This window comes from Homo sapiens, chromosome 9 (genome assembly GCF_000001405.40).
Source record: "Homo sapiens chromosome 9, GRCh38.p14 Primary Assembly".
Classification (NCBI taxonomy): domain Eukaryota; kingdom Metazoa; phylum Chordata; class Mammalia; order Primates; family Hominidae; genus Homo; species Homo sapiens.
Window position 1 is genome coordinate 97,965,014 of NC_000009.12, and position 27,447 is coordinate 97,992,460.

Here is a 27,447-nt window from a genome sequence, read left to right on the forward strand (position 1 = left end):
CATTAAAGCTGACTTTGATGTGAGATGGCTGCCAACAATTCCCAGAGCTACATAAGTCCTTGTCCATATCCAGATAGACAAAGGTCATTTCTACAAGCCTCTCTCTCAGGAGCCCCTAGAGAACCTCTGTTAATCTAAACTGAGTCATATGCCTACAGTGGCTATGTGGGGCCTTGCCCAGTGCCCCTCTTCCCTGCAGATACACCCATCCTTCAGCTGCAGGGGATATTACTGCTCTCAGCCTCAGGAAACCATTTCATGTTCTCCTAGGGTACAGCCTGAGGCCAGTGACAGGCTGATGTGGGAATACACTTCAACTTAGGACAACTCTGAAGGGCTAGCCCAGCTCCTGGGCTCCCAGTGGGACCAGAGAAAGCCTTCATTGTAACTACCCAGCAACTATTTTGCTGGTCAGCTTCTCTCTACACCCAACCCTGTCTTCTTTACTTCCTCACAGTTGTATGTCCTGAGAACACTTTTCAATAAACCATCTGCATGCCATGCACAGTAGTGCATGCCTATATTAGGTACAGATGCAATTCTGTACCAGCTACTCAGGAGGCTGAGGCAGAAGGATTGCTTGAGCCCAGGCATTCAAGTCCAGCCTGGGCAACATAGCAAGACCGTGTTTCAATATTTAAAAAAAAGAAATAAGAAAAAATAAAAATGAAAAAAAAAAACCCTTCTGCATGCAACTTTCCATCTTAAATTCTGTTTCTGGAGAACTCAATCTAAGATAGTGCTCACTTCTGAATCAATAAGTGTGACAAGATGTGGGACTATGCTGATAAATTAGGATTAATTGCATGCCCTATCCTAGAGTTGGAATCAACCTCTGTTGCTTAGAAATTAGCATTATAGTCTAGCGTGTCAGAGCTGGAAGAGTTTCAAAGATCATGCAGTCCTTCTCCTTTAGCTAATAGAAGACACAGAGAGGGGATGGAACCCACCTAAGTTACACAGTTAAACTAGGACCCAGACCCGGATGTCTTTATTCCAGAGCGGAGTTCTTTCCACTGTAACCCATTTCCCATTTTTGGTCATTAAGCAGAAATGGCAATCCATCTATCTCAAAGTGACAGGACTGCCTGTCTAACGGACCTCAACATTCTCACAAATAGGTGGTAGACAATCTCTGCACCCCATTCCTTTTCAGCAGCCTAATTTATAGACATATTTTTATTTTATTCCACTCAGGATTTAAAAATATTTTTTGAAAGAGTAATGTGTTCATATGGTTCAAAAAATATTTTTAAGTATAAAAAGGTATGCACTAAAAAGTTTCACTCCTACTTCTTCCTCATCCCACCTACTCCCCTCCCACAGGTAATTTCTCTTATTCAGTTTCTTATGAACCATAACAAGAACTTTGAAATCAATTGTTCTGATTACCAAAACAGTCTGGAGGAGTGGCGATACTGCGATGTAGAGAGCCTCAGTGAATGAAAGAATGAAATATTGACCAAGTCCAAATTCAGTGTTCTTTCCATAATATCACCATGCTTTTAAAAAGACCTGAGGTGTGTGGTGAGAGCTTAGATACCAGAAGTAGGATGAAAGGTGTAAGTTAGCCTGGAAGACAGGCTGAGCTATTGAACCAGGGCCCTTTAAATTCCCTGACTTGACAGAGCCTGCAGAGGGGCTGATTGGCCCGAGCTGTGAAGAGAAGAGGAACTCAACAGGCAGGTGTTTGCATTGAAATAGGACTTGACTCATCCTGCATCTTCATGTAATACACCTAGTCTGTCACAAAGCCTTGTCAAGTCTTCTTGTGAAATATTTACCCTATCTGTCCCTAACTTTCTCTTCTCACAACAAAAAAACATACTCCAGACTTCAGTCAACTCACACATGGGTTATTGACACAGGCTTTTTTTTTTTTTTTTTTTTTTTGAGAGGAAATCCCACTCTGTTGCCCAGGCTGGAGTGAAGTGGCACGATCTTGGCTCACTGCAACATCCACCTCCGAGGTTCAAGCAACTCTCCTGCCTCAGCCTCCTGAGTAGCTGGGATTACAGGCGTGTGCCACCACGACCAGCTAATTTTTGTATTTTTAATAGAGACGACAGGGTTTCACCATGTTGGCCAGACTGGTGTCAAACTCCTGACCTCAAGTGATCTGCCCGCCTCAGCCTCCCAAAATGCTGGGATTACAGGCGTGAGCCACTGTGCCCGGCCGCCACAGGCTTTTAATTGGTCTCCTGGTACAGAAATAGCTTTAACCTAAATGAGCATGTATTGCATCCAGTTTCCATTTATAGCTTATATGTAAATTACGTTGGTCCTTTAAAAAGCCTAGTTCTTTCAACTTCCAACTCCATATAGTGGCAACAACTCCATTAGCGTGTTAGTTAAAAGGGTCAAAGAAGATTTGCTCCAGCTCAGAAACAAGGCTGATCACCAGAAAGATGAGACTTGCCCAGCAAATGAATAAACAAATTGTTTATCCATTGTTAATTGTTTATCCATTATTTTCCCACTGTTGCCGGGCGCAGTGGCTCACACCTGTAATCCCAGCACTTTTGGAGGCCAAGGTGGATGGATGACCTGAGGTCAGGAGTTTGAGGCCAGCCTGGTCAACATGGCGAAACCCTGTCTCTACTAAAAATACAAAAAAATTAGCCGAGTGTGGTGGCACATGCCTGTAATCCCAGCTACTCGGGAGGCTGAGGCAGGAGGATTACTTGAACCCAGGAGACGGAGGTTGCAGTGAGCTGAGATCGCACCCTCTGCGCTCCAGCCTGGGCGACAAGAGCAAAACTCAGTGTCAAAAAAACAAAAAACAAAACAAAACAAAAAAAAACAAATTGTGGTATATTCATACACTGGAATACTAATCAGTAAAAAGAAGGCCAGGCACAGTGGCTCACACCTGTAATCCTAGTGCTTTAGGACTGAGATGGAAGGATCACTTGAGGCCAGTAGTTTGAGACCAACCTGGACAACGTGGTGGGACTCTGTCACTACAAAAAATAAAAGAGAGAAAGAAAGAAAGAAGAAATGAGCTACTGATGCACCCAACAACCCAGATAAATCTCAAAACATCATGTTGAGTAAAAGAAGTCAGATATAAGAGAATACATGCAGTATGAGTCCATTCATATGAAGTTCAAGAACAGGTAAAATAATCTATGGAGGCTAGATGCAGTGGCTCACGCCTGTAATCCCAGCACTTTTGGAGGCAGAGATGGGAGGATCACCTGAGGTTAGGAGTTAGAGACCAGCCTGGCCAATATGGTGAAACCCTGTTTCTAGTAAAAATACAAAAAAGCCGGGCATGGCGGCAGGCGCCTGTAATCCCAGCTACTTGGGAGGCTGAGGCAGGAGAATTGCCTGAACCCAGGAGGCGGAGGCTGCAGTGAGCTAAGATGGCACCACTGCACTCCAGCCTGGTGACAAGAGCAAGACTCTGTCTCAAACAATCATCATCATCATCATCATCATTATCATCTATAGGGATATAATTTAGAATAAGGGTTGTCTCTGATAGGCATTGGAAGGAACACGGGGATGCGATAGCAGTACTTTCTATCTTGACTGAGGGACTGGTTATACAGGTGTATACTTTTGTCAAAACTCATTAACCGTATGCTTGAGATCTGTGTGTTCCACTGTAACTGTTCCCCAATGAGGGGGAGAGAGAAAGAGAGTCCAGGCACGGTAGCTCATGCCTCTAATCCCAACACTTTTGGTGGCCGAGGCAGGAGGGTTGATTGAGCCCAGAAGTTCAAGACCAGCCTGGGCAACATAGGGAGACCCCCATCTCTACAAAATAATAATAATAATAATAATAATAATAAATAATAAAATTGGCCAGGCGTGGTGGGATGCACCTGTAGTCCCAGCTACTTGGGAGGCTGAGGTGGGAGGATTGCTTGAGCCCAGGAGTTTGAGGTTGCAGTGATCACACCACTTTACTCCAGGCTGGACAACAGAGCGAGACCCTGTCTCAAAAAAAATAATTTAAAAAGCCCAAATATTGGTAAAAAACAGAGGCTTCCTAGTAGTCTCCTACTTTTTCTCAATTCCTTACTGAAAAACATCTGAAGAAAATGGAAAATTAGGAATCCCCAACACCATAAAAAGTCTGAAAGAAATCTGATGCCAGAGTCTTGGCAGCATTTCTGTTTTCTGTTCTTCTAATGTGCATGTTGCAGCTGTATTAAGAAACACTGACCCAATTTAGAGCACACATTATACTCACCTGAATTTTATGAGCGGATGCCTGAGAAAAGGAAAGAATGCCCTTGGCTGCTCCCACACCATCTGTCCTCTGCCCCTCTGGGACATTAGCCTGATGGGAACAGATCGCTGAGGAGGCAGAGCACCTTTTCCCAGCACCTACACCCAAGGCCAGGACCCTCCTCTGCCAGCTTGCTTGCTTTTTCAACTTAAATCTTATTTGTTTCAGGGTAATACATGGGCAGAGTTTTAAACATCAAATAGAACTACTCCAAAGTCTGGAGGTGCGGTGGCTCACACTTGTAATCCTAGCACTTTGGGAGGCCGAGGCGGGTGGATCACTTGAGGTCAGGAGTTCAAGACCAGCCTCACTAACACAGTGAAACTCCACCTCTACTAAAAATATAAAAATCAGCCAGGCATGGTGGCGCTTGCCTGTAATCCCAGCTACCGGGGAGGCTGAGGTGGGAGGATTGCTTGAGCCCAGGAGGTGGAGGTTGCAGTGAGCTGAGACTGTGCCACTGCACTCCAGCCTGGGTGACAGAGCAAGACTCCATCTCAAAACAAACAAACAAACAACAACAACAACAACAAAACAAAGTCTGTTACGAAAAACAGCAGGCCCCTGCCTTAGCCCTTTCCACCTCACTTGTCATTCTCCACAGACAGTGCTCCAGAGACTGTTCTTTTAGCAGTTGCTTCTGTTGTTTACCTCCTTTTATATAAATACTATGACTATATTATTCTTTTTTTAAAAATTTTTGACATTAACTATTGACTTCCTACTATGAAAAATAAGACTTTATCTCTCTTCATCCTTACTTTCCCACACTTTTGACTCCCCCCTCCTTTCAGTAATGGTTACTTATGTTAATGTGACTCTGTATGTGGTGTTTACAGGTGATTTTAAGACCTACATATAACATACTATAATTATATTTTTTGTACAACTTTTAATTTTTCCTGGTGTTAAGAATAACCTCTTTTTGTCTTCCTTTGGCTTAATTTACTACATCCGTCAGAGCTGTAAAACTCCTCTCTCTTCTCAGTGTGGTTACGCAGGTGGTATCCTTGATTGTTATTTCCTGACATCCCCCCACCACCCCACCCCCGGCCACCCCAAGAACCTTCTGTCCTCTGGTTCCCGCCTACACAGGATTGCCCTCCGGGCCAGCTGTACAGCTAACATTATGGGCATGTATTCTTCAGGAGCTTCCTGGAAAGGGGTGCATGGAGGGTCAATATTCTGACACGCTGAATGTATGTAAGTCTTTATTCTATGCTTACTCTTGAATGATAATTTGGCTGCGGAAGTTCTAAGATGATAACTTTCTTCACAATTTTGAAGACTGTCAGTTGCTCCACTGTCTTCTAGTTTCCAGTGTTCTACTGAGAAGGCTCATGCCATTTTGAATCCTAGTCTTCAGATTATGATTTTTTTCCCCTCTTAGGACACTTTTAGGATTTCTAGTTTTCTGCAACTTCATTATGATATGCCTTGGTGGGCCATTTCGATCTGGAATCCTAGAGGAATTGCGTTGTATTACTGTTTGATAATTTCATTATTTACAGCTATCGGTACTAAAAATACTGACATTTGGGGGTTCCTCAAGGAACCTGCTTCCTGATCACCCTAGGGGAGTGCCCACTAGTCTTTAAGACCTACCAGGGGACACAGAGTTCCCACAGAAGCACTTTTTAGTGCCTCTCTCATAAATATAAATGGATATTTAAGGATGATCATATACTCAGGAAAGACTCTATAATGAAAGCCAGAACTCTGTGTTACTAAAAAGAAACCTGGAGGCCGGGCGCAGTGGCTCACTCCTGTAATCCCAGCACTTTGGGAGGCTGAGGCAGGTGGATCATCTGAGGTCAATTTCAAGTTCGAGACCAGCCTGGCCAACATGGTGAAACCCCGTCTCTACTAAAAATACAAAAAAATTAGCTGAGCGTGGTGGCGGGCACCTAAAATCCCAGCTACTTGGGGGGCTGAGGCAGGAGAATTGCTTGAACCTGTGAGGCAGAGGTTGCAGTGAGCCGAGATGGTACCACTGCACTCCAGCCTGGGTGACAAGAGCAAAAATTCTGTCCCAAAAATAAACAAATAAATAGAAACCTGGAGAAAATGGAGACATTTCAGAGATCAGAATAAAACTTAAGGGGCCAAGCTTGGTGACTCCTGCCTCTAACCCCAGAGCTTTGGGAGGCTGAGGTGGGAGGATCACTTGAGGCCAGGATTTAGAGACTAGCCTGGGAGAAACCAGCCTGGGCAACATAGTGAGACTCTGTCTCTACAAAAAAATTAAAAATAAAAAAATTAGCCAGGCGTGGTGGCTACTCGGGAGGCTGAAGCACAAGGATCACTTGAGCCTAGAAGTTTGAGGCTGCAGTTAGCTATGATCATGCCACTGCACTATAGCCTGGGTCAAAGCAAGACTGTGTCCCTCAAAAAATGAATAAAATTTAAATATATATATTTAATGTACATATGTTAGATATAAATATGTCCATAAATATATTTATTATACATATATTTATGTATATATGTTTACATACATAAATACATGTGTATGTATTTAAAGATGTTAAAATATGTTCACCTGAGCTCCATATGCTTGAAAGAAAAAAAAGAGGTTAAAATATGTTACATTAATGGAATAAAAACAGCATGTTATGAAAAATGAACATTAAAAATAAGAAAGAGCCCTTGGAAATTAAAAATATGACAGCTAAAAAAAAAACCAAATGTGGTTATCTTATTTTTTCTTAAACTAGTCACTTTCCCCCAGAAAAGACTCTTCCAGTCTCCTGCCTCTGGAGATTAGCCATTAGCATTCTGGAGCCAGCTGGGAAAAGGGGAGTTGGAGGAGTAGCTCACCATTTAGGATGTAGACTTCCAGTTCATCCCCTCCATTCTGTCTTTTCCGTCTTTCTTGAACTCTGATTAGTCAGATGTTGGACCTCCTGGACCGATTCTCTACTTTTATATGTATTTTTCCTTTAGGGTATTTCTTTATATTTTTATGCTATTTTTGGGGCAAATTTCCTCAATTCTATCCTTAAATCCTTTTAGTGATTTGGGAGGGTATGAAGATAAGCGTATCAATTTACCATGACTAACTAGAAATCCTTCTGATACCATTCTACATCTTGGCTGATAGTATGTCCTTTTGCAGAAAGGGAGATAAGAAATGGGCCTGGGGAATCCACAGCCACCCTCATCTGGGCCTGGTGTCTCTAAGCCCAGCGCTCTATTAGCTTTACTTTCTCCAGAAAGTAAACTTCTGCTCTTCTGCCATTTGTCCACTGGCTTAGCATTTTCTAAACTCTCCCAGAGGTACTGGTAAGGACACAGACAGAAAAATAAACGAACAGAGAAGGAAGTTCAGAAATAGACTTACAGCTGGGTGTGGTGGCTCACACCTGTAATCCTAGCACTTTGGGAGGCTGAGGCAGGTGGATCACTTAAGCTCAGAAGGTAGGGACCAGCCTGGCTAATATGGTGAAACCCCGTCTCTACTAAAAATACAAAAATTAGCCGGGCATGGTGGCACGTGCCTGTAATCCCAGCTACTCGGGAGGCTGAAACAGGAGAATCACTTGAACCTGGGAGGTGTAGGTTGCAATGAGCCAAGATTGCGGCACTGCACTCCAGCCTGGGCAACAAAGCGAGAAAAGAAAAGAGAAGAGAAGAGAAGGGAAGGTGAGAGGAGGAAAGGAAAGAAAAGAAAGAAAGGAAAGGAATGAAAGAAAGAAAGAGAGAAGAAGAGAAAGAGGGAGGGAGGAAGGAAGGAAGGAAAGAGAGACTCACGAATAGGTAAGGATGTAGTATGTTATAAAGGTCACATTTCATGTTCATTGGGGGAAAGATGGTTATTTAAGGAATGGTATTGGAATAACAGCTAGCCATTAAAATAAAGAACATGAGATCTTTACTTCAAACCATACATTAAAAGTCCAAGAAGCCTGGGCGCAGTGGCTCACGCCTGTAATCCCAACATTTTGGGAGGATGAGGCGGGCGGATCACCTGAGGTCAGGAGTTCAAGACCAGCCTAGCCAACATGGTAAAACCCCATCTCTACAAAAATACAAAAAAATTAGCCAGGCATGATGATGGGTGCCTGTAATCCCAGCTACTTGGGAGGCTGAGGTAGGAGAATCACTTGAACCTCAGAGGCAGAGGTTGCAGTGAGCTGAGATCATACCATTACACTCCAGCCTGGACGACAGAGTGCGACTCCTGTCTCAAAAAAAAAAAAGAAAGTCCAAGTAGATGAAAGATTTCACATAAAAAATGAAACCAGAAGTACCAGAAGAAAATATAGGTGAATACTGATATAATCTTGGAGTGAGGAAGGTCTTTCTAATCATGACATAAAACCATTAACCATAAAGACTGGTTTGATCCTGAATAAAAATTTAAAATTTTTCTTCATCTCCCCCTGTATGTGTGTGGTGTATGTATGTGTGTGTGTGTGTGTGTGTGTGTGTGTGTGTTTACACCTATACATGGAGATATATCTCTATCCTATAAACAACATTTTAAAAGCACACACAAAAAATTGGGAAAAATAGTTTGGATATATATATGTTACACTAAAGGCTAACATTCTTAATATATAAGAGCACTTGTTAATAAATAATTTTAAAACACCAATAAGACACAAACATGCAACTTACAAAGAAGTACAAATGGCTTAAAAATATCTGAAAAAGTATTTAGCTTTATTTGTTATATAAAGAAGTACAAATTGAAACAACCAAATGGGATATTTTCAACTTACCTAATTGACAAAGTTTATCAGTTTTATTGGGATACAGTTATATGAAGTTCATCCTTCTAAAGTATACAATTCAGTGATTTTTAGTATATTCACACAGTTGTGTAACCATCACCACTACCAAATTCCAGAGCATTTCCCTTCCCCCCCAAAGAAGCCCCATACTCATTAGCAGTCACTCCCCATAACTTCCAGTCCTTGGCAACCACTAATCTGTCTCTGTGGGTTTGCCTTTTTTTTTCTTGAGAGGGAGTCTCACTCTCGCCTAGGCTGGAGTGCAGTGGCGCCATCTCAGCTCACTGCAACCTCCACCTCCCTGGTTCAAGCAATTCCCATGCCTCAGCCTCCCGAGTAACTGGGAATAAAAGCACACGCCACCACGTCCGGCTACTTTTTCTGAAAATATTTTTAGTAGAGACGGGGTTTCACCATGTTAGCCAGACTGGTCTTGAACTCCTGACCTCAGGCAATCCGCCCGCCTCGGCCTCCCAAAGTGCTGGGATTACAGGCGTGAGCCACCGCGCCCAGCCAGGTTTGCCTATTTTGGACATTTCATCTAGGTGGAATCATACACTATGTGGCCTTTTATGTCTGGTTCGTTTCAGTTAGCATATTTTCAAAGTTCATCAATGTTGTAGCATGTATCAGCATTTAATTCCTTTTTATGGCCAAATAGTATTCCATTGTATGGATGTATTTGTTTCCTATTCGCTGCTATAACAAATTACCACAATTTTTTTTTTTTTTTTTTTTTTTTTTGAGACAGAGTCTCACTCTGTCGCCCAGGCTGGAGTGCAGTGGCGCCATCTTGGCTCACTGCAAGCTCTGCCTCCCAGGTTCACGACATTCTCCTGCCTCAGCCTCTCTGGAATAGCTGGGACTACAGGCGTGCGCCACCACACCCGGCTAATTTTTTGTATTTTTAGTAGAGACAGGGTTTCACCGTGGTCTCGATCTCCTGACCTCGTGCTCCGCCTGCCTCGGCCTCCCAAAGTGCTGGGATTACAAGTGTGACCCACCGCGCCCGGCCACAGATTACCACAAATTTAGTAGCTTAAAACAACACAAATTTATTACTTTACAGTTCTGTAGGTTAGGAACCTGAGGCAGGTATTATTGGGCTAAAACCAAGGTGTTGTCGGAGCTGTGTTCCTTTTTGGAGGCTCCAAGGGAGATCCTTTTTCCTTCCCTTTTCCACTTTGTAGATGCCATCCACATTCCTGCGTTTATGGCTCCCTTCCTCCACCTTCGAGGCCAGCATTCAAGTCCTTCTCACACATCACTATGGCCTCCTTTTTTATAGTCAAAATTTCCTTTTTTCTTCTTTCATCTTCCTCTTCAACTTTTAAGCACCTTGTGATCACACTGGCCTATGTGGATAATCCAGGATAATCTCCCCATCTCAAGATCCTTAATCACATCTGCAAAGTCCCTTGGGGGCCATGATTTTGCCTACCACACAGATACACCATATTTTGTTTATGCATTCACTAGTTGATGGATTTGGGTTATTTCTACTTTGGAGGTATTATGAATAATGCTGCTATGAACATTCCTTTACAAGCTTTTGTGTAGATTTATGTTTTCAATTCTTTTGGATATTTGCCTAGGAGTAGAATTGCTGGGTCATATGGTAGCAATATGTTTAACTTTTTTAAAAGTGTACAATTCAGTGGTTTTTAGTATACTTACAAAGTTGTACAACCAAACCATCACCACAATCTAATTCTGGAATGTTTTCATCACTCCAGAAAGAAACCCCAGACCCGTTAGCAGTCATTCTGCATCCTCCCTTCCCCCAAACCTCTGGTAACCACAAATCTGCTTTGTCTCTGTCTACCTATTCTGGACATGTTACATAAACAGAACCACACAGTATGTGACCTTCATGAATGGCTTCTTTCATTTAGCATAACGTTACTAAGGTTTACCCACGTTCATTCCTTTTCATGGCCAAATAATATTCTATTGTATGGATAACCACATTTTGTTTATTCATTCATTGCTAATGGATATTTGGGTCGTTTCCATTTTATGCCTATTAAGACTAATGCTGCAATAAACATTCATGTGCAAATTTTGTGTAGACATACATTTTCATTTTCTTGGGTATATACCTAGGAGTGAAATTGCTGGCTCATATGTAATTCCATGTTTAACTTTTTCTTTTTCTATGAACCTGACATTGTAAACAAAACAATTTCAAAATTGTTTTCCAAAGAGGTTGTTGGCCAGGCGCGGTGGCTCACGCCTGTAATCCCAGCACTTTGGGAGGCTAAGCTGAGTGGATCACCTGAGGACAGGAGTTTGAGACCAGCCTGGCCAACAGGGTGAAACCCCCTCTCTACAAAAATACAAAAAAAAAAAAATAGCCACGCATGACGGCGGGTGCCTGTAATCCCAGCCACTCGGGAGGCTGAGGCAGGAGAATCACTTGAACCTGGGAGGCGGCGGTTGCAGTGAGCCAAAATCTAAAGAAGTTGCACCATTTTACATTCTCACCAGCAATGCACAAGGGTGTGAGGTTGTATGTCATTGTGGTTTTTACATTTCTCTAATGACGATGTTGAGCATTTTTTCATATGCTTATTGGCCATGTGTATATCTTCTTTGGAGAACTGTATATTCAAATCCTTTGCCCATTGTTTTTTGAGACGGAGTCTCGCTCTGTTGCCCAGGTTGGAGTGCAGTGGCAAAATCTCGGCTCACTGCAACCTCTGACTCCCGGGTTCAAGCGATTTTCCAGCCTCAGCTTCACAGGGCCGCGCCATCACACCCATCTAATTTTTGTATTTTTAGTAGAGACGGCGTTTCACCATGTTGGCCAGGCTGGTCTTGAACTCCTGACCTCAACTGATCTGCCTGCCTCAGCCTCCCAAAGTGCTGGGATTACAGGCATGAGTCACCGTGCCCAGCCTGCAGTAGTTTTTTATACATCTGAAGACAAGTGTCTTATCAGATATATGATTTGCAATATTTTCTCCCATCCCATGCATTGTCTTCTGTTTCCTGATGGAGTCATTTGAAACACAAAATTTTAAATTTTGATGAAGTCTATTAATCTATTTTTCTTTTTGGTGTCCTATCTAAAAAACTTTGCCTAATCCAAGGTCATCCTACTTTTTCTTCTGAGTCTTATAGTTTTAGTCCTTATATCTAGGTGTATGATCCATTTTGAATTAAATTTTTTTTTTTTTTGAGATGGAGTCTTGCCCTGTCGCCCAGGCTGGAGTGCAGGGGCACGATCTCGGCTCACTGCAAGCTCCGCCTCCCAGGTTCACGCCATTCTCCTGCCTCAGCCTCCCGAGTAGCTGGGACTACAGGCGCCTGCCACCACACCCGGCTAATTTTTTGTATTTTTAGCAGAGACGGGGTTTCACCGTGTTAGCCAGGATGGTCTCGATCTCCTGACCTCGTGCTCCACCCGCCTCAGCCTCCCAAAGTGCTGGGATTACAGGCGTGAGCCACCGTGCCTGGCCTTGAATTAATTTTTGTAAATGATGTCCAACTTCATTCTCTTCCTTGTGGACAGCCAACTGTCCCACATCATTTGTTGAAAAGACTATTCTTTCCCTCGTTGAACTGTCTTGGCACCCTTGTTGAAAACGAATTCACAACATTTTTTTAAAGATAATACCTAGTTTAGGCAAGAGTGAGGGGAAGTCTTGTACACTGCTAACAGGAGTATAAAGTAGTAGCCTTTGAAGGGCAATTTGACATGTATATACCAGTTTGAAATGTGTACACTCTGATTCAGGAACTGCACTTCTAAGAATTTATTCCAAGGAGCTAAATGTATTCAACGATGTTATGTATAATAGTAAACAACTGGAAGTAATCTAAGTGTCTATCAGTAGGAGACCAGGTGAGTAAATTATTCTCCAGTCCGTACAATAAAATATGATGCAGCCTTTAAAAATGAAGTAGATCCAACTTACTGACTGAGCAATCTCTGTGACCCATTGCTTAGTGAAAATGAAAAACGTATTATAGAGTATCATTTATAGAATTCCATTTATATAAAATTATATATTTTATATATGCATCTTCATTCGTAGAGTAATAGCTTGGAAAATATTCACAAAAATGTTAACAGTAGTCCCTCTAAGTAATGGGATTTTGGCTGGCTTTTCTTATTTATACTTTTTTGCATTGCATGAATTTGCTACATGAATGTGTATTGTCCTTAAGCCCAGAAAAAGAAAACAAATTTTCATTTTTGTAGAAGAATATCTTCAAGGAATATATATTGTAGAAGATTATTCAATGACATGGAAATATGTCTATAATATATTGTTAACTAAAAAGCAGGTTATACTATCCCACTTTTGAAAAATATTTTTAATTGTGATATTTCCTAGGTATTATACTTTTTCACTTCTATATGTGAAATATCTCTTAAAATTGACATGAATATTTGATGTTGTGGGTTCCCCCTCCCTCCCTCCTGAAAAGGTCTTACTAATGAGATGATGCTTCTCACTATCTGAGACTTGAGAAAATGCCATATGTGTGTAGAGAAAAGACTGGAGGAATAGACAACAAAACATGAACAGTGCTTGGCCCTTTAAAAAAGCCTTGGATGGAAATTCTTATTTTCTTCTCTGTAAGTATGGTTTCCAAGTTTTCTATAGTACATGCATAAATAAACATAAAAAGAAGCCAGGGGCCTAGATGCCCTTATTTTCAAGGATAAGGATATTTGCTACTTGCAGCCTTTATCAAAATAAGAGACTAGCAAATTTAGGACCACGCAAGCCACCTCAGTAGTACCAGGGTCTAGAGTGAAAAAGGACTAAAGCACAGGCCCACAGAGGGGTGCCTGGTTGGACAGGAGCAGGTAAGGCAAGCTTCGGAACAGATGGCAGAGTTCAGTCAGCAGGAGCTGGACTCTTGGATCAGTCTCAGTTCCATGTGGACAAGGAAATCCCTGTGAGGTATGAGAGGGTCCAGATGGCAGGGATGCTGGCTAATTATGGAGAAGGGCACTTCGATATTTTCCAGTGTAGCTCAGGAGCATGTTCCAAGTTCCTCAAGAGAGAACAAGGACTGTGTGAAGCAGAAAATGAGCCTGACTATTTGAGATTTAAAAACATATTTCCCCCTTAGCCAAAGGGGTAGCACATGGAGCAGAGATGGAAACAGCAGAATGTTCCTAGCCTTGGAAGAGGCTGGCAGGCTCTGGGATGCTGCTTGGGTAAGGAAGGGACTCAGGCTTGCAGTGACTGTGGCTGGGGTGCAGAGAAAAGTGAAAGGCACTCAGCTTCTCTAATGTAATTATGTCCAACCCTCAAAAGTTCTGAGATGAGCAGCCTGAGGCCCAGAGAGGCTATATGTTTTGCCCTAAAGCACACAGCCAGTAAGTGGTAGAGTGGGATTCTCATCTCACTGAAGTCCTTCTAAAAGGGAAAACCACTGAAGAAAGTTATATTAATACAGATTTATCATAATGATAGGTGGAAAAAGCAAGTTTCTAAAAAAAATCTTCAATCTGATCCCAACACTGAAAAACAATATGTATAGTACAGAAAAAAATTGCAAGGATATACAACTTAATGGTGGTTATATCTCAATGGCAGGAACTTTTAAATTTATTTTCTATTTTTAAATTTTTTCTGCACAATGAGCAAGTAAACCTTTTTAAAACAGGAAAAAAATGTTTTTTTTTTCAGAAGCAGTTGTGAGGACTAGTCGATCAAAGTAATGAGAATGAATTACAGTGAGCCCTTAATGACAAGAGAAATCTAGCTTCTTAGTAGTTATATGAATTTCAGCAAACCTACTTGGCTTTGCTGAGTCTGTTTCCTAAATACTAAAAAAAGGTGGATTATCGTCCTGCCCGGGGAGCTGTTGCTAGGATTAACTGAGAAGCAGTGTACACAAAAGTCCCATGCATAGCACTTGGCATAAGGATGGTGCTTAATAAATATTAGACCTGACTCTTGGTAGTCATAGCTCTTCCCTGCTGCACCAGGAAGGCATAGCACCTCCAGCTGGTTCAGAAAGCAGAAAGGAACCTGGGCAGGGGCCCGTTACTGGGCCTAGAGCTTCCTGTACACCTGACACATTCCCCTCCTCTGTTTTTACCATGTGGAGACTAACAGGATCTCCTCCCTTAACCCATTTTCACCTATTTGCCTCTCCCTCTCCCCTTGTCTCAATAATCTCAGCTGCCTAGATGGTATTTTTTAGTACATGTGACACTATTTTCAACATAACATACATTTGCAAAGCATCTGCTATGTTCTAAAGATGGACCCCAGGTCCTCCTCTCCATTCCTATCATCCAGAAATACTTCTCTGAGTTCTAATTGAGAAGTTAGATCCTTCAATAACTACCATTTGTTGCCGAACTGCAATAATAGAGGTACACACACTAAGTTGTGGAAACTCCGGGCTGGGGAAGAGATATGTTCTTACCAGTGTATGCACATGCGTGTAGAAGAGGACGGGAAGAATGGAAGTATTTAAAGAGTAATCATTTCCTCACTCTATATTATATATCAGCTTCATATACTGTCGTTACTAAAATGTGCCCATTCTGTTAAGCTGGTTTCAGAGCTAGTTAAATCAATGACCTAGTAGGGCTGTTTCCTCTCATCTTCAGATTTATTAAAGTCTGTCCACAGCCACAAAGTTTGTGGGGAAGGCTCAAGTCATATGATGACATGACAAGTAACATGCTGTTGCTGAGGCAGCGGGGTGGGGCACAGGTCCAAGGAGTTACAAACTGGCTCGGAGTGTTCCGCTCAGACATTTTAGAGCTTTTTGGAATACATAGCCATTCTGATTAACAGGCAGTTTTAAGGCTCAAGGGGTGCCAAAACCTGGCATTATTTGATATTTTTATTACTTACTGGTCAAACGTTAACATCAATGGAAGTAAAAAGAAGTTCATTCTTAGTTTGGTCTAACAAACTGTTTTTACATTTCCTTATTCCCTTTCAGCCCTTGTTGAAATCCATAAATCCATGGACATGATAATACTTGCAGATTAGATATAATTGAATATTCTACATCTTTCTCACACACAGATGCAGAGAATGATGTTAAGAGCAGCAATATTCAAAACCCAGGCGCTGTGACAACAGCCCCTTCAGGCCTGTAGACTGACAGTCCCGTAGAAGATGTTGGCAGGGCAATGAGACACACCCTGCTCTGCCTGTGTTATTTATGCCTCTGGCAGTGAAGCCCCTGACAAAGAAGCATGTCACTGGAACACATGCTCTTTGTTCACAGAGGTGCATGCCAGCACCGGCTGCGTAAGAACGGACAGTGCCGTGTCTGTAGTCTCTCCTCCTTTGGCTCTTTTGCCTTCTATTTGCAGCACATTGTGGCTATGTTTATTAATTACTTTGTGGCTTAATACTATAAAACACACATCTATCCTGTGAGCTATGTACCCTAGGGAAAGAGTCCTTCATACCCTCCAGTTGGCCATAAAGAGAGGACAGAGTCTCAAGATTTGCCCTGATGCTAAGGATTAATACCACCTCCTCCGGGAGCCATCAGGTTACCACTCTCTAGCACAGAGCTACCACGTTTAAGACTCCTTCAGCACCATCCCCCCTTTTCCTGCACGAGGACACTTGCATGCTGTTTGGTATTAAAAGCCCTCTGCAACTGTTCCCAACCTACAGCACCAAAGTAGCCCCCCACCATGCTATGACTCCACTCTAGCCAGACTGATGATGTAGCACAAGATGGTGGGCTGTGGAGTCAGACCTATCTGGGTGTAAATCCTAGCTCTGCTTCTTGCTGGACGTGCAGCTTAAGATTCCTGAGCTCCTCATCTGTAAAATGATTAAATTATCACCTACTTCAGAAAGTTGTCTGAGAATTAGAGAAATAATATCAAGCCCCTTAAAGCAGATCCTCAATAATCGCTTGTTGGCTCATGAAACCGATTTTTTGTTTTGTTTTGTTTTGTTTGGTAAAAGCCCTCATTGCATAGCCCTGTGGTTCTCATAACCTTAGTTACAGACCTTTTGTAACCCTGAGAACATCTGTCTCCATTTTCCCTTGTCATAAAGACGTCTGCTGAGACTACAAACGGAGTCAGGGAACTACTACCAGAAAGTTTTTCTTTTCCCATATTCCTTCTAAAACTTTCATCTTCAAATGTTAACTCACTCAGTATTTTAAAAGCTGATATATAATTGGTTTACAACTAAATTTGGGTTGTTTGCCACTAAAACTTAGGTAAAATAGGAAAGGGGGCACTTTCTTAACTTCCATAAAACTTCATGTTAATACATAGAATTTCAAGTTTTTCTTTAACAAATTGTTCTTAGTTTTTGGTGCTTCTTGTCAGTACGATCTTCTTAGATTGTATTTGATTTGACACATTATGTATTTACTTATTGTACGCTGAATATAACGTCATTCCCCGGTGTTCTGCAAAGCACAACACTCATCCCGATCTGGTGCTCTAACCCCTGGGACCCTTTGGGCCAGACCATGACAAAGGCTGCCTGCCAGGTTTCAGCGAAACTTAGACCACCAAGAATTTACACACTTCACAGGGGTGCCCTAAGGAATAAATGAGATTAAAAAAAAAAGTCTGCGGGGAAACCCTGAGGCCCTATTAGAAATGCTAATCGTTTCCTTCTCTAGCTCCTATTAAAATGTTAGAAAACCGAGGGAGACTCTCCTGAACAGGGTGGGGATGCTCGGCTGCTCTGTGGCTTAGCAAGCGACCCCAGCTGCCCTGCCAGGGCCGGTCGGCCGCGATTCCGTCCCGACGGGGGGGATCCTCGGCGGCACTACGGACGCCAGTCTGCCAAGGAGGCAGCGGGGTTCGGCCTGTTGGCCCCAGACTGTGTGGCAGGCAAAAGGTGAACGTCAAAGCCTGTCCCCGGCTTCTTCACATCTCGCGCCTCCGCGGGCGTCGGGCCGCCCCCGTGAGCCTCCCCGGATGGACTGGGTTTTAGGGACCCCCGCAGCCGGACTGCAAAGCTTCCCACCAACCCTTCCCGCGAACCTCCCAGCCCGGGCCGCAAGCCCAGCTCCGGGCGCGACGACGTGGGGCCGGAGGTAGAAGGAGTCTCAGCGCGGCGGGGGCCGGGGGGCGGGGAAGCCCCCCCACCCACGAGAAAGGTCTTACATCAGCCGCCCCACGTGCAATCGGAGAGAGGGAGGAAGTCGCTCCTCTATTCGGGCTGCGCCTTTCCCCAGCCTCCGCCCCGCCCGCCGCGAGTCTCCCCGCCCCGCCTTGGTGCAGCCGCGGCCGCCGAGCCGAGCAGCGCCGCGCGGGGCCGAGTGGAGCCGAGCAGCTGCCGCGCCGCGTCGCCGGTTTAAGCGCAGTGCAGGCCGCGGCCGGGGGCGGCGGTAGTGAGCCCAGCGCTGCGCTCCAGCCCCCTTTTCCCTCCATGGTTTCTCTCCGCTCCCGTGAGTAACTTGGCTCCGGGGGCTCCGCTCGCCTGCCCGCACGCCGCCCGCCACCCAGGACCGCGCCGCCGGCCTCCGCCGCTAGCAAACCCTTCCGACGGCCCTCGCTGCGCAAGCCGGGACGCCTCTCCCCCCTCCGCCCCCGCCGCGGAAAGTTAAGTTTGAAGAGGGGGGAAGAGGGGAACATGGACATGAAGAGGAGGATCCACCTGGAGCTGAGGAACCGGACCCCGGCAGCTGTAAGCAGAGACCCCTCTGGGTGCCCTCTCCCCCGATGACTTGCATGTAATGGTGGCCACCTGCGGGGCCCGGGCTGAGGGTTCGCCGGCCCCGGCGCGGGGAAGAGCGCAGCTCGTGGGCTCGGACGGGGAAGGCGGGCGGGCGCGGAGGGGGGAGCGAGCGCGCGAGGATTAACTCTTTGCCGCCCGCGGGCCCCTGGGGCGGCCGGGGGGAGGCAGCGGTGTGGGGGAAAGCAAACTTTGAGCGCTTCGCCCGCCGGGGTCTTTCCCCTGAGGGAGCGCGTGTGCAAGTGGCCGGCGGCGAGAGAGGGAGGCGGGGGTTGTGTAACGCTGGGAGCCATGTTTGCAGCCTCCCGGGATGCGCGGCCGGGCGGAGGCCCGGCCTGCCGAGGAGCTGCGCGGCCATCCCCGCCTGGGCCAGGCCGGGCTCCGCGCGCCCCGGGCCGGCCGGGGAAGGGGCGCGGGTGGGGCGGGACGGGGGCTCTTGTGGCCGGAGCTCGCCGTGGGCGCCGGCCCGGCCGAGGTCAGCAGTCGTGGGGCGAGGAGGGGGCTTTTTTCTTTTGAAGGGAGCGAGAAGCCCCCTCGGGCGCCTGGAGGCCTGGGCGGGCGCGGCCCGGCGCGCGGAGCGGGGGAGGGGCGGGCCAGGGCGGCGGAGGTGGCGCAACCGCCGCCCCTCCCGAGGCCAAGTTTGAAAAAAGGACGTGGTTCCCGCCATTTTTCAAGCCCAAAAATAAAACTTTCTCCCCCGTTCTCTCGCTCCCTCTTCGCCCTCGGCCTTGCCCACTCCTGCCTCCCAGGGGCAGCCCGGGTCGACCAAGGCCAACCGTTGTGGCGACGGCCTCGCCCTTCCCCCTGTGCCGCGGCGGCGGCGCCCGGGGCCCCTGCCCTTGCCCCGGGAGGCTGGCCCCTCCGTGTGGGCGGGCGGCGGCTCTTCACGCCAGCCGGGGCGCGCCACAGGCCGCCGCAGCGCCATGTTGGCGGGTGCCCGTCTCCCTGCGCCTGGTGAGCCGGCCCACGAGCTTGGCCTTGCCCGCCCGCCCTCGGCGCTGGCTGGCGGCCGCCTCTTCCCGCGCCGAGCCCTCGGTCTGTTTCCCCCCGCCCCGCCGGGGCTTGGCTCCCACTGGCGGGAGCCGCGCGCCGCGGCCGCCGCCGACTCATCCCGTCGCGGGCGCGCTGCCGACCCCCTCCCCCTTCTTAAAAGGGCAACGGCAGGCGGCCGCCCCCGCCCCGCGCCGGGCGCGCGGGATTTTGGGCGGGCTTCGGCTCGGCTCGTGGGCCGGGCGGCCTCTGGCCTCCCACGTGCTTGAGAGCGGCCTGGTGCGGTCGGCCGCGCGCCTTGCGGGCTGTAGGGGCCTGAGGGCGGCCCTCTTGCGGCGCGGCTGCGTGGGCGTGGGTCCGACCTGTGGGAATTGCCCCATTCGTCTCCCGGGTTTAGCGCGGCTGCCCGCCGTCGCGAGCCCCCCCCCCGCCGCGGACCGGCGCGGGCCAGTTAGCGCCGCGGCCGGGTGCCCCAGCGGGCCAGTGGCTTTCCCGCGGAGGGCGGCCCCGCGGGGCCTCCCGACCCGCTCTGGGCTAAGCGAGCGGCCAGGTTTCGTGCCCTCAGGTGGCTGTGGTTAACAAGTCGCGAACTTGTGGGAATTCGTCGACCAGGGTTTACCTGGTGTGCTCGACATTTTAAATCCTTGCTCTCTAGTCTTTGAGGTCACCACTAACGCGGGGCGGGCCGGGCTCCACCGCACGGCGCTGTCCTTCCCGGAGGGCCCGCGAGGGTGGGCCGCTCCGGGGGTTGCGAGATGGAGGGTCGCGGGCGTGCGTTCTTCCGACCTTCCGTCAGACATTTTGTGCCCGCCACGTGCTAGCCTATCGCCCAGCTCGCGCCTCAAAACTTGAGAGGCTTTCTTGGCTTGAGAAGGTGTTTATTCCAGACTTTTCCATTGCGGCGTAATTGCAAATCCGTAGAATATGGAGTAGCTAAAATTAGCCAAAGTGCCCGCAAGAGAAGTACACACGTGGGTCTTCAGAAATGCGTTAAAATCTAGAATTTGAATTCTTTAGGATATGCTCAAACTAAAGGTCTTTTAAAATTCTCAAGAGTAGTGTTCCCTCTGGGAAACACAGTTGGTCTGCTGTTCCCCTTAGAGGATGTTTTCATATATGAAGTAATATTGCTTTAAAAACACATGTATATCTACAGGTGTTCATTTTTCTTTTTTCTGTTTTTCTTTTTTTTTTGAGACTGAGTCTCTCTCTTGCCCAGGCTGGAGTGCAATGGCACTATCTCGGCTCACCTCAGCCTCCGCTTACCGGGTTCAAGCGATTCTCCTGCCTCAACCTCCCGCGTAGCTGGGATTACAGGCATGCGCCACCATGCTCGGCTAATTTTGTATTTTTAGTAGAGGCGGGGTTTCTCCCTGTTGTTCAGGCTGGTCTCCAACTCCTGACCTCGGGTGATCCACCCGCCTCGGCCTCCCAAAGTGCTGGGATTACAGGCGTGAGCCACCGCCCCCGGCCACCAGTTCATTTTTCAAGTAATCAGCTTAACCTTCTTGCCAGTCAGGCCAGAGCCATTTAATTCAGTTAAATTAAAACATTTTCTCTGTAATACTATCCACATTTCAAGTGCTCAGACGTGACAAGTGGCTCGTGGGTGCTGCGTTAGGCAGCACTGGCCTGCAGAATCCACTGGTTTATTAAGTAAACATTTTAAGCCTGAGAAACCATTGAGGTGGTGTGGTGCTTTTTGCACTTGGGAGAGTTGATGAGGCCTTGAGAGAGTGTTGTGGGAGCCAGCTAAGATTGTGGGGGTAGAGGAAGGTTCCCTTAGGGAGACTGAGACCAGTGGGAGTTAGGTACCCAGTTGGGCGAATAAAACTTTGACCTAAAAGTGAAGGGTTTTTCAGGAAAAAATGCTGTAGATTTTGAAGGAAATTCTAAAAGAGAGTTTAAAGTGTTTTCGCACAGAGGCGTCATCCTTAAGGCAAATGAAAAGTTTGGAGATCACTCTCTTAAAATCACATTCAGCTAGTCACATGATACCTTATGTGTGATGTGCTGGAACATGCCATAAACACCACAGAAATTGATGGCATTGTCAGCTGTTACACAGTAGGCTTGGCCTCTGGGATCCTGCAGACTTGTCGTGTGGGGTAACATGAAGAATCGTTTCCCTTGTTGAAGGTATACTGTTGTTGTATGAACAGGATGCCCTGAAATATACAGCAGTGTCCCATGGTTGACCTTAATGATTTTAAAGTCAAGTGAGATTTAAGGGTGTTTGAAGAGGGCGAATAGGGGTTTAATTGTAAATATGTTCTTACGTTTAAGACCAGATGGGCTTTTATTGTGTATATGGCTTTTTTTTAATTACTGGGGTTTGAAGAAGACCCTAGTAACACTTTTGTTCAGTTGGGCTCTTGTGTGTTCTGACCAAGGAAGACAAGAAGGTAAACACAAAAGTGTTACTAGGGTCTTCTTCAGTTCACCTGTTACTATATCCCTATTCCTTATAAACACAAGTATGCCCATTTCCCTAAGGGATGGGGGCGAGGGATTGTAAAGAAATACAGAATTTTATTTATTTTTTTCTAAGTCCAAAAGAGCTCTTATGGCAGGGTATATTCTCATAGTGGAACAAAATGGCCTAAGATGGCATTTTAAAGTAATCTTCATGAAGAATGGTGGTTACCATTTAAAAACATTTTATAGACAAGGATAGGAGATAGTTTGTATGACAAGGAAATATTTTATATAAAATATTGGCAGTTCACTGAGAGTAAATTGAACAGTGCTAGAATACACCATATATACACCATGGAAATTGGAGGTCTTGTCAGTAAAATGAGAAGACACTGACATGCAGTAGCTAGATATAAACCACATTTAGTTGTATTCTAAAATTGGAAAAGAATACCTGTTCTTTATGTGAGATTCTTATCCTTCCAGTAAACTGAACATGTCGCTCTGTTAGAAGCACCTCATTAACCACGCATCTGGGGACAGTCAGCCTTCCTATCAGCTCTGAGTTTTTCATTCAAAGTTAGAAAGCCAAGCAGTTCCTTACTGTGGCTTGCAGTCTATGCACCTGCGAAATGCTGGTGTGCTATATGCTGGACTGTGACATTTCATATACCAAAATAAAAGTCTTTACGTAGTCCCAATTTACTGAGAAAAAATGTAGATTGTCTTTAACTTCCATCTTTTTTTGATCCGCACCCCCTCCCCAGCTTTTGACCTCTTTTGTTGTGTCTACTGTGATGTAATTTTGAGCTCAATTGGATATTCTAGTTGGTTGCATAGCAACTAATTGGGGTTTTTTTCCTTGTATAAGTAATACATCTTCGTTTAAGAAAAATTAGATATAGATAGGCCAAAAAATTGTAGGTATAGACAAGCAAAAAGAAGATAGACATCATACATGCCTAACGTACCATCTAGACACTTTAGTGTATTATAGTCTACCAGAATGTTTAAATTTTTTCTAAACTTGGTTCATGCAAATAATCCAAATGCTAGCTAGCTTGTTGCTTTTTTTTTTAGAAAAAAAATACAGTCAACATCTTTGTGTGTGTCCTTATTTTATAGACTCATTATTAATGTCTGCATAGATCATAATTTAAACATCCCTCTCAGGTTGTTCACAGGGATTTTGGCTGTTTTAAATACTGCTGAAATGAGCATCTTATAATGTGATTTTTTTTTCCATCTGCCAGATTGCTTTTCAGAATGGTTCCCGTCTTTAAATACCCACCAGTAGAATATTGGTGTTTCCTTCCTTAATGCCAGCAGTCGTGCTACCTAAACACATTGGAGAACCACTAATAGAGATCCGTTCCAGGCTGGGCACAGTGGCTCGTGCCTATAATCCTAGCACTTTGGGTGGCAGAGGAGGGTGGGTCACCTGAGGTCAGGGATTCAAGACCAGACCGGGCAACATGGCGAAACCCCGTCTCTACTAAAAATACAAAAATTAGCCAGGTGTGGTGGCAGGCACCTGTCATCCCAGTTATTCTGGAGGCTGAGGCAGGAGAATTGCTTGAACCCCGGGGACAGAGTTTGCAGTGAGCCAAGATAACACCACTTCACTCCAGCATAGGCAAAAGAGCGAGACTCCATCTCAAAAATAAAAATAAAATAATAAAAAGTTCTATTAATTTAGAAACATTATTTTAAAATAATGGGTAGAAGATTTGAATACTGGTTAACTCAGAAGAATGGAAATTGCAAGGATGGCAGGAATTACTTTCTATATTTTGGGATTATTTCACTTACCATAATAACCAGTATTGTTCTAATTAAAAGAATTGACAACTCAGAAAGATCTTTAATTCCTCCATACCCTTTCCTCCTTTTATGGCAGAGACAGCTGGTATAATTGGAGAGCATCGCCCCACCAGTTAGGTAAAGTTGATCTTTTTTCATAATAGCTAGGGGAGTGGCAAATGAGCAAATTGAAGAGAATGAAAGGAAAAAAAATGTTTCCATCTCCTGTGGCCCCCAGCTCCAATCCCCAGGGATATTCCCATGACCTAGACTCATCATAACTTAAAGAAGGACCTCATAGGCATTTTGCCATTTAGAACTTAAAATGTGTTTTGTTTTTCATAGAGGTAGTGTTATAAATCATTGTTATATCCTCCAGTCAGATCTGAAAAGGTATTTGGCTGCAATATAGTTCAAATTTTTCAATGAAAAAGTAGTAGGAAACTACTGTTTGCTGGTAACTGTAGAAAACAAATATGAGTTAAGTAGGAGGTAGTATGGATTTTTCATTTTTAAGTGTTTACCTTAAATTTGTGTTTGAGAAAAGGCAAGTTTAATTGGAGCATGAGGGAAGAAGAGGAGTGAATTTGGCCCCAAAAGTTAAACTGTCCATCTTCAAGCAGAAGGCCAGTTAACTCTTGGATCAAATAGATCCCTCAGATTTAAGCACAAATGAACAAGTGCCTGCCTAACTTTCTTCATTAGATAGCAGCTCTGGGAGGATTTGAGATATAAGAAGAAACTAGGGCCTTTTCTCCTTTGATTAGGACCTCTGGTTTATTCTGAATCTAGATTGGGAAGCTGTGGGATCATCTTGACCCCAGCTCCACTCACTGTCTCAACTACACTCTTCCAAAGCTGTTATCTCCTTTGCAAGGCAGTCTAGATCTCTATACCCAGGAAGGAATGAAAAGAGATGAGGCTTAGTTACCTCTGTGGAGATCCACTGAGAACCCCAGAGTTGATATAAAGATTGTTTTAAACTGAAGAGATTTGAGATTCAACAGATGCAGAGAGAAGCCTACTTGGAGTTTATCTGGCTAAAAGCAAATACATGTCACAAACGAGGGCTGACATAAATTCTCCCTTTGGAGTGAGTCTGTTCCCAGGAGAGAGGCCAAGAGTAAACCTCTGGTAGGGGTTGGAGGGGTAGTCTTTTGGCCCTAAGAAAAGAAAGACCACTCATACCTATGTAGACAGACATTGTAAACTTGATCTCTCATTTGTTCTGAAAATACCATTTGTGTTCCCTAAAGAAATCTGTTCTTCCCAAAAGGTTTTTCTCCTGCTGTCCTTTCCTCTTCTAAGTTAGGTATATAAGCCCTAAATTCTAACTACTCAGTTATCACTGAGTGTGAGTGCACCTGTGTATGTGTGTTGCACATGTAAATACACTTTTTCTGCACCTCAAATGCCACTTTTCTGCCATTGAAACAATATCCGAGCTCAGAATACCTTTCATCAAGGTCCTGTTAAGAACTTTCAACAACCTTGAAGTTGGCTGATGGAACATTTAGACCTGCTATCCTTGGGTACAGCCCTAAGTGGGGCCCTCCAGTGGTCTCTGCTTTATGCAGTAATTCCCATTCTCCTCTGTGCTTATTCCCCAGTGACTCATCTTCTCAGTATGCTTCTGGCGTTCTGTTCTTGGGGTGGCATGTTTCTTTACATTCTCAGCCTTTCTGGAAAAGTCAAGGGACTTGCCTTTTCTGCCTAGCCCAACAACTCTCTGCCCTATTTATCCCAGTATATCTTATTGCCTCTTACTGGTAGAGGCAATTAAAGGTCTCAGGTATTCATTTCCTGAACTTCTCATTCTCACTTAACAAACTCACCTACATCTGTGTCCATCCTAGCCATCTCTCTTGAAGGAGCTGTCCCTCCTCCAACAAGAGTAGAATGATACCTCATTTTTAATATGCACTTTTACTGCTTACAGTTGAACCTTTTTTTTTTTTTTTTTTTTTTTGAGACATAATCTTGCTCTGGTGCCCAGGCTGGAGTGCGGTGGCGCAATCTTGGCTCACTGCAACCCTCCGCCTCGCGGGTTCAAGCATTCTCCTGCCTCATCCTCCCGAGTAGCTGGGACTACAGGTGCACACCACCATGCCCGGCACATTTTTTTGTATTTTTAGTAGAGATGGGGTTTCGCCAGGTTGGCCAGGCTGGTCTCAAACTCCTGACCTCAGGTGATCTGCCCGCCTCAGCCTCCCAAAGTGGTTGGGATTATAGACGTGAGCCACCGTGCCCAGCCAAACTTTTTTTTTTTTTAACTGGGTCTCTGTGGCCCAAGCTGGAGCATAGTGGCATGATAATGGCTCACTGCAACCTGGACCTCCTGGGCTCAAGTGATCCTCCTGCATCAGCCTCTCAAGTAGCTCGGACCACAGGCATGCACCACCATGCCCAGATAATTATTTATTTTTTGTAGAGACAGGGTCTCCCTATGTTGCCCAGGTGACTCTTGGACTCCTGGGCTCAGGTGGTCCTCCCACTTCTGCCTCCCAAAATACTGGGATTGTAGGCACTAGCCACTGCACCTGGCCTTGAACAGTTTTTTTTAGTGTTGGCTATTTGTGTCTTTTAGAGCTTGTCTGTCCTTCGTTAGTGTTTCTGCTGGGGTATTTATTTTTTCCTCACTTAGGGTAAAAAAAATAGAAGATATCCTCAAGAACAAGATAAATGCAAATAGCCAGAATTTCCGTAATCGAGAGGTTACAAAAAGTAACAGTCAAATAAATCAGAAAATAATTTTGTGGCAGTTAAAATGAACTACTCATTTAAAAGAGAAGTTGACATTTTAAATAAAGAACTCTTAACTAATAACACACTCAGATGTTTGTATTCTTTCACTTAGCAATGGATTCTGAAAACACAGTCCTAAATACAGAAGACATTTTAAGTAAAGATATGGCATTATTTATAGTAGGGAAAATTGAGCACAAATGTTCAACACGAAGGATTGTAAAGTGATTTATAATATATCCACACACTGTGCTTTCTTAAAAAATACTCTGTGATCAGAAAGTTGGTCCCTTTTATGTCCAGGTTTTCATCTTAGTCCCCCACAATTGTGACACAAACCTCTGTACAATATTGCTGACAAACCTGTGACCGTTTTTTTCCTCATTCCGCAGTTATGTAGGCTCTTACACAGTGATATAGTGGTAACCAGAATATACATGATCCTGTCATCATGAAGCTTAGTCTAGCGGTGACTTTTTTTTTCTTTTTCTTTTTGAGATGGAGTCTCCTTTTTCACCGAGGCTGGGGTGCAGTGGCACATTCTCAGCTCACTGCAACTTCTGCCTCCCAGGTTCAAGCAATTCTCCTGCCTCAGCCTCCCAAGTTGCTGGGATTACAGGCACACGCCACCATGCCTGGCTTATTTTTGTATTTTTAGTAGAGATGGGGTTTCACTGTGTTGGCCAGGCTGTCTTGAACTCCTGACCTTAGATGATCCGCCCGCCTTGACCTCCCAGGAGTGTTGGGATTACAGGCATGAGCCACCACGCCCAGCCAGCAAAAACATTTTTTAACCTGCATTTGAGTCCTGTGATACTTTCTGATGACGCCTTGCAGTGGTTCAAGT

The 27,447-nt window shown here is 45.1% G+C and overlaps 1 protein-coding gene and 2 long non-coding RNA genes across 3 annotated transcripts in view, besides 9 other annotated features; 2 read left to right on the forward strand and 1 right to left on the reverse strand.

Moving 5' to 3' along the window:
* Positions 1 to 5,381: 5,381 nt before the first annotated feature.
* On the reverse strand, positions 5,382 to 22,790 carry LOC124902226 (uncharacterized). Its single transcript, XR_007061686.1, has 3 exons — positions 22,507 to 22,790; positions 21,633 to 21,802; positions 5,382 to 5,706 (listed from the first exon to the last, which is right to left on the reverse strand). It is a non-coding gene; the product is annotated as an uncharacterized LOC124902226 (long non-coding RNA).
* Positions 17,898 to 18,557: a silencer, noted in NCBI's record as "silent region_20104". NCBI's record gives its function as "represses an Ori minimal core promoter by ATAC-STARR-seq in GM12878 lymphoblastoid cells {active_cell/tissue: GM12878}" and the evidence as "EXISTENCE:reporter gene assay evidence [ECO:0000049][PMID:35858748]".
* Positions 17,898 to 19,080: a biological region, named in NCBI's record as "H3K27ac-H3K4me1 hESC enhancer GRCh37_chr9:100745493-100746375".
* Positions 18,198 to 19,080: an enhancer, noted in NCBI's record as "H3K27ac-H3K4me1 hESC enhancer chr9:100745493-100746375 (GRCh37/hg19 assembly coordinates)". NCBI's record gives its function as "activates a minimal SCP1, AML or CMV promoter by ChIP-STARR-seq in naive H9 embryonic stem cells {active_cell/tissue: H9 hESC(naive)}" and the evidence as "EXISTENCE:reporter gene assay evidence [ECO:0000049][PMID:30033119]".
* ANP32B (acidic nuclear phosphoprotein 32 family member B) overlaps positions 18,328 to 27,447 on the forward strand; it is a 32,603-nt gene continuing 23,483 nt past the window's right edge. Inside the window, exon 1 of the mRNA NM_006401.3 lies at positions 18,328 to 18,596. Coding sequence (NP_006392.1) covers positions 18,543 to 18,596 — 54 coding nt within the window. The 5' untranslated portion in view covers positions 18,328 to 18,542. The remainder of the gene's footprint in view (positions 18,597 to 27,447) is intronic.
* Positions 18,708 to 18,797: a silencer, noted in NCBI's record as "silent region_20105". NCBI's record gives its function as "represses an Ori minimal core promoter by ATAC-STARR-seq in GM12878 lymphoblastoid cells {active_cell/tissue: GM12878}" and the evidence as "EXISTENCE:reporter gene assay evidence [ECO:0000049][PMID:35858748]".
* Positions 18,988 to 19,067: a silencer, noted in NCBI's record as "silent region_20106". NCBI's record gives its function as "represses an Ori minimal core promoter by ATAC-STARR-seq in GM12878 lymphoblastoid cells {active_cell/tissue: GM12878}" and the evidence as "EXISTENCE:reporter gene assay evidence [ECO:0000049][PMID:35858748]".
* Positions 19,138 to 19,337: a silencer, noted in NCBI's record as "silent region_20107". NCBI's record gives its function as "represses an Ori minimal core promoter by ATAC-STARR-seq in GM12878 lymphoblastoid cells {active_cell/tissue: GM12878}" and the evidence as "EXISTENCE:reporter gene assay evidence [ECO:0000049][PMID:35858748]".
* Positions 19,348 to 19,397: a silencer, noted in NCBI's record as "silent region_20108". NCBI's record gives its function as "represses an Ori minimal core promoter by ATAC-STARR-seq in GM12878 lymphoblastoid cells {active_cell/tissue: GM12878}" and the evidence as "EXISTENCE:reporter gene assay evidence [ECO:0000049][PMID:35858748]".
* Positions 19,428 to 19,657: a silencer, noted in NCBI's record as "silent region_20109". NCBI's record gives its function as "represses an Ori minimal core promoter by ATAC-STARR-seq in GM12878 lymphoblastoid cells {active_cell/tissue: GM12878}" and the evidence as "EXISTENCE:reporter gene assay evidence [ECO:0000049][PMID:35858748]".
* Positions 19,678 to 20,447: a silencer, noted in NCBI's record as "silent region_20110". NCBI's record gives its function as "represses an Ori minimal core promoter by ATAC-STARR-seq in GM12878 lymphoblastoid cells {active_cell/tissue: GM12878}" and the evidence as "EXISTENCE:reporter gene assay evidence [ECO:0000049][PMID:35858748]".
* On the forward strand, positions 20,423 to 26,681 carry LOC124902225 (uncharacterized). Its single transcript, XR_007061685.1, has 2 exons — positions 20,423 to 20,508; positions 23,953 to 26,681. It is a non-coding gene; the product is annotated as an uncharacterized LOC124902225 (long non-coding RNA).